Below are 5,726 nucleotides of genomic sequence, written 5' to 3'. Positions count from 1 at the left end.
CGAAGCCGGGTCTCCCGTTTCTTTAGTGCTGCGCTTGGGTTTTGGCGAGCGAGTATGAGCTGCTCTGGACACATTCGCTAGTGTTCCTCAAATTTTGCCGCTGCTGCGTAAATAAGGAATAATACAATTATTTGCAGAAGTGATAAGGAGTGATTGAGAAATCGCCTTGAGCGTTTTTTTTTAAGAACAAGAAGTAAATGTAAAAGATATCAGTTACTGTTTTTGTTGTTTGGTTTTGCGGGGGCGGGGTGTTTGAGTAGACACGGGTCTCGCCTCGTTCCCCAAGCTGGTCTCCATCTGGCCTCAAGCCATCCTCCCGCCTCGGCCTCCCAAAGTGTTGGGATTTCAGGCATGAGCCACGGCGCCCAGCTTGATATTCGTAACTCTGAATGTTTTAATAATCTTTCCCCTAATGATGTGAAAAACGCGTTTGGGAACTGTGTAGCATTGTATATACGCAGAAAAGGTACGATTACTGTGACTTTTTGATTGTCAAAAAATACAGCTCTGAAGTTACTTGACTCCTTGGGAACCAGTTGTAAGGGAGGATAGCAAGTGTCCTTGGCTTCTTAACCATCTTCACTCTCCACAGTTAATGAATATTCAAACTGTCAGAATTAGTTAATAGTTTATAGTCCCATTTAAGAAATTTTGTTAGGAACAGTGCTGTCACTCTCCAATATGGCTACAGAAAAGTTATTTCATTCAAATCTTGGTTACTTCGTCTGTGAATAACGAAATTACTGAATAGTTTCTAAAGTTCTTTTCGGTTTATAAACATCATCAAGTTTATTCGTTTACGAACTATTGGATAATCAAATTCTTCCATTTATTTTCCACTTTAAACCAATATCTGAATTAAATTCCTGTAAGGACAGACAAATGCGAAGATTAAATTATGAGGTAATGAAGTAATCAGTGCATTTTGTTTGGATGGGTTTGGGTAGACATTAGTTTGTTGAACAAATGTCTCAGATTTAATACTTCAGGATTTGTTAAAGATGATAATTGTAACTATAGGTAACATTGATCAAGCTTGTATATGCAGGATGTAGTCGTTAGCCCTTGACATTTATTTAACCTTCATAAAACCTTAATACTTATCTCCCTTTTTTGGAGACAGAGCGTAGGGGGTCTTGCTTGGTGCAGTGACAACGATCACAGCTCACTGTAGCCTCGACCTCCTAGGCTCAGATGATCCTCCCTTTTCAGCCTCTATCTGTTTTACAGATGAAAAAACTAAAAGCACTAGGATGTTAAATAACACAACAAAAGTCACACAGCTGACCTTTGTGATCTCACACTTTTCTTAACCCAGTGTTATGTGGTATTTTGTGTTCAGAATTTTTCTTTTTCTAAGTTCATTATCTGTGAGTGATTCTAATCCAGTTGTTTTTTTTTTAATTTTTAGTGTGCAGTGTCTTAAAAGGCAAAAACCTGAGACGATGTTTATTTATTTATTTATTTATTTTATTTATTTATTTATTGAGACAGAGTCACTCTGTTGCCCAGGCTGGAGTGCAGTGGCGCGATATCGGCTCACTGCAACTCCACCTCCCGGGTTCAAGCGATTCTGGTGCCTCAGTCTCCAGAGTAGCTGGGATTACACCACGCCCAGCTAATTTTTCTATTTTTAGTAGCGACGGGGTTTCACCATGTTGGCCAGGCTGGGCTCGAACTCCTGAGCTCAGATGATCTGCTCACCTCGACCTCCCAAAGCGCTGGGATTACGGGTGTAAGCCACAGCGCCCGGCCAATACAACCTCTTTTGGTCTCTAAATCTACACTCATATAAATGCTTTTTTGATAAAGTTATATTTAACTCGAACCCATTGTTCCTTTCTTTCTTTTCTTCTCTTTTTTTCTTTGAGACAGAGTCTTGTTCTGTCACCCAGGCCGGAGCACAGTGGCGCGATCTCGGCTCACTGCAGCCTTCGCCTCCCAGGCTCACGTGATTCTGGTGCCTCAGCCTCCGGAGTAGCTGGGACTACAGGCGCGTGCCTCCACACCTAGCTAATTTTTGTTTTGCTCTGTTGGCCAGGCTTGTCTCGAACTTCTTACCTCAAATGATCCGCCCACCTCAGCCTCCCAAAGTGTGTGAGCCACGCCCCAAGCCCCATTGTTTATGTTCTGCAAAAAAAAAAAAAAACAGTCTCTGTGAATCCATAAATTTGACAAATTCCTAGGTTAAACAGGTTTCTTCACCGTAGAAGTCAGAGGTTCTAATAATAAATGTCAATTGCATATAGCTAAAATTTTTCTGAATTTATGACTTCAGTGTATACTTTTATAATCAGTGTGGGACATAATACAATTTGGAAAATATTGCTTGAATACTATTTGAAGATTGAAAGTATAAGGAACTTGGTGGCCAGGCAAGGTGGCTCATGCCCGTCATCCCAGCACTTTGGGAGGCCAAGGCGGGCAGATCACTTGAGGTCAGGAGTTTGAGACCAGCCTGGCAAAAATAGTGAAACCCCATCTCTACTAAAAATACAAAAAATTAGCCAGGTGTGGTGGCGGGCGCCTGTAATCCCAGCTACTCGGGAGGCTGAGGTGGGAGTATCACTTGAACCCAGGAGGCGGAGGTTGCAGTGAGCCGGGATCCCACCACTGCACTCCAGCCTGGGCAACAGAGAGAGACTCCATTTCAAAAAAAAAAAAGTGTAAGGAGCTTTGTATAATTCGACATTTTAAAACACTTTTCAGGAATATTCTCTATACCATACCTCTATCATTTTACCTCATAACCTTTTCATTTGTACTTATTTGAAGATTTGGGGGTAACTTTCTGCCCTAGGAATGGACAAGCGTGCTCTTGTGTAAGTAGAATAATATACCGAAAATCCCATGACTTCTGGAGGCCTAGCTCTGCCATTTTACTAGATGTGACTTTGGACAAGCTACATACCTCTTAGGGCTTTATTTTCCTCTTGTATAGAATGGGAATTAATTGTTCTCTTACAAGGATGATAGTGGGATGTGTGTACATATACATAAAGCCTTGTCCCTGCCTCCTCACCCCTACCCTAGCATGCTGGGAGCTGGAAGTTGAAATTCAAAATCTTTTGTGAGTGGCTTGTATATAATCAACTTTTGTTAGATTGTGTATGCTTTTATTTCACACAACCCTAAAATCTCATAACTTTCAAAAACAAAAGATTTATTTTAAACTTTCATTACAAGTTTTGTAGTAGTCCTGTTCCAGGCTACAGATTGGTTTCAGCTTTTTTCATCTGAAATTCAGGTTTAAGAACAACATCCCTCTGGGACATTGCTGTTCTTTGTGAGAGGGGACAAAGATCAGAGAACTGGTGCAAAATACTCAGTACCTCTTAAGGTTCTGTTCAGATATGGTACACATCACATGTGTGCAAATCAAATCACACGGTCAAGCCTAATGTCACTGGGGTGGAGAAGTATTAGCTTGAGCCATATTAAATTGTTAATTTGTTTGGTTTTGTTTTGAGACAGAGTCTTGGTCTGTTGCCCAGGCTGGAGTGCAGTGGCACAATCTCAGCTCACTGCAACCTCCGCCTCCCGGGTTATTAGTGAGTCTCCGGCCTCAGCCTCCAGAGTAGCTGGGATTACAGGCGTGCGCCATCATGCCCTAAATTGTTAATTTGTGTAGGTCAAAAAAAGGTGAATATTGGCAGTTTCATATAGTTCCTCTTGCATGAAAACATTGCAACTCACATGAAAATGGGTGGAGCTATATAGTCATCTTATGATTAGAGAAACAAATAACTGGGAATAAATAAAAAAAATTACCTCAGCAGGAGAACATCATTTATAACTTTATATTTTTTGGGAAAAAAGTATATTTTACATTCTAATAAACTCTACATATTTTATGGGACATGAATGTCTGCACATATGTACTGAAATGTGTTAATGTGCACAGACTAAATAATATATTCTGTTTTCAGTTAACAGTATTAAATTTGACTTGTTAATATTTTCATTGTAGGTATATTGAAGCAAGTCAAAGATTACATTAAACAGTGTAGCAAATGCCAGGAGAAACTAGATCGATCCCGTCCAATATCAGATGTTTCAGAAATGTTGGAAGAATTGGGACTAGACCTTGAATCTGGAGAAGAAAGTAATGAATCGGAAGATGACCTGAGCAACTTTACTTCATCTCCAACTACAGCATCCAAGCCTGCAAAAAAGAAGCCAGTATCCAAACATGAACTTGTGTTTGTAAGTGGTACTCTCCAGTCAGCTTTAAGATTTGTAACTAGTGTACTAGTATTTGCAGCCTTGGTGACTTATTTTTCTCAAACCACTAAGACTGCTTATTGAATAAGACAAAATGGCAGTGTACTGTGTTATATAAGCTGAACTGCCTCTTCATTTATCATAAATGTTCCTGTTATTTTTTCAGAATGAACTTAATAATTACCTGTTGGTTTGTTGTTAATTATCCTCCCTCCCTTCTTTTGTGATGATATATTGGTACAAGTAGACAGATTTACATTTCTGGAAGCAGTCTCTGAGTTTACGCCCCAAGGTAAAATTAATCTGGCCAGGTCTTTGTTTTTCACCTGCATCAGTTTCATACATCATCATATTTCTGATTAGTAAGAAGAGGCAGCCAGAAGTGAGATACAGATTTTCATTAGGTGAGGTAGAATGAACATGGCAGAAAATAGGATAGGACAACATATCTTTTTATTTAAATACATAGGTAACAAAGAAAATATCAAATTATTCATACCTGGTAAAAGGTAATATGTAATGTGTCTTGTTTTAAAGCTTGTTAAGGGTAAAAAATACAGGTAATATGTTACTCTTGCTCTCAAACTTATTTTGACAGGTTGACACCAAAGGAGTGGTAAAACGTTCTTCTCCAAAACATTGTCAGGCTGTCTTAAAACAGCTGAACGAACAGAGACTTTCCAACCAGTTCTGTGATGTTACTTTGTTAATTGAAGGAGAAGAGTACAAAGCTCATAAATCTGTTTTGTCAGCAAATAGCGAGTATTTTCGAGATCTTTTTATTGAGAAAGGAGCTGTTTCCAGTCATGAGGCTGTGGTGGATCTTTCTGGTAAGGGTTTTGTATTACTCTTGCTTTTTGTTTGTAATGACATTCTAGAAGAGGGGGATATGTATGTCTTCCACACACGGACTTTATGCCAAAGTAAGAGAAGCCCACTAACAACAGTAGACTAAGCTGTACTGAAAAGGTTCTTTTTAGCAAGATTTCTGTGGTAGAGTTATGGAAAAGGGTGTCATTTCCTTTCACTACGTCTTAAGTGAGACAATTATAGCAGAAAAAGAATTTCTAGGATTTAAACTGTTAAAAACAGTTTGAGTGAAATCCATAAGTGCAACAAAATTATTACATTAAATGAATATGTTATTTAAAAATTGATTGTTTAAGCTAGGTGTGGTGGTGCCCGCCTGTAGTCCCACCTACTTGGGAGGCTGGGATGTGAGGATCTGCTTAAGGTCAGGAGTTCCAGGCTGTGGTGTGTCATTGTACCTGTGAATACCCACTGCTCTCCAGACGGGGCAATATAACAAGACCCTGCCTCTAAAAATAAAAAGCAAATAAAAATTGACTGTTTATGTCTTATTTTGTGGGACATGTAATTATAGAGTATTTTATAAGTCTTTTGGTTTTTAAAGATTAATCCTTAGAGTTTATTAAGTTCAATAATCAAATTATCAATATAGAAAAGTCAAAATCCCAGGTTTGTTTTTTGTTTGTATCATT

General features: G+C 38.9%; 1 protein-coding gene across 2 annotated transcripts in view, besides 1 other annotated feature; it reads left to right on the top strand.

The window, feature by feature from the left end:
- ZBTB11 (zinc finger and BTB domain containing 11) overlaps window positions 1–5,726 on the top strand; it is a 28,244-nt gene that overhangs the window by 949 nt on the left and 21,569 nt on the right. The window contains exons 1-3 of one of the 2 annotated variants that reach the window (XM_011512689.3): window positions 25–466; window positions 3,971–4,206; window positions 4,823–5,054. In XM_011512689.3, coding sequence (XP_011510991.1) covers window positions 352–466; window positions 3,971–4,206; window positions 4,823–5,054 — 583 coding nt within the window. In that variant the 5' untranslated portion in view covers window positions 25–351. Of the gene's footprint in view, window positions 1–24; window positions 467–3,970; window positions 4,207–4,822; window positions 5,055–5,726 lie in introns of those variants that run through there. The other variant, NM_014415.4, reaches the window with a different exon arrangement.
- Window positions 1,808–2,308: an enhancer, noted in NCBI's record as "H3K4me1 hESC enhancer chr3:101392720-101393220 (GRCh37/hg19 assembly coordinates)". NCBI's record gives its function as "activates a minimal SCP1, AML or CMV promoter by ChIP-STARR-seq in naive H9 embryonic stem cells {active_cell/tissue: H9 hESC(naive)}" and the evidence as "EXISTENCE:reporter gene assay evidence [ECO:0000049][PMID:30033119]".

This window comes from Homo sapiens, chromosome 3 (assembly GCF_000001405.40).
Source record: "Homo sapiens chromosome 3, GRCh38.p14 Primary Assembly".
NCBI lineage: Eukaryota > Metazoa > Chordata > Mammalia > Primates > Hominidae > Homo > Homo sapiens.
Note: the sequence above shows the minus strand (reverse complement) of the source record. Positions and strands in the feature narration are given on the sequence as shown.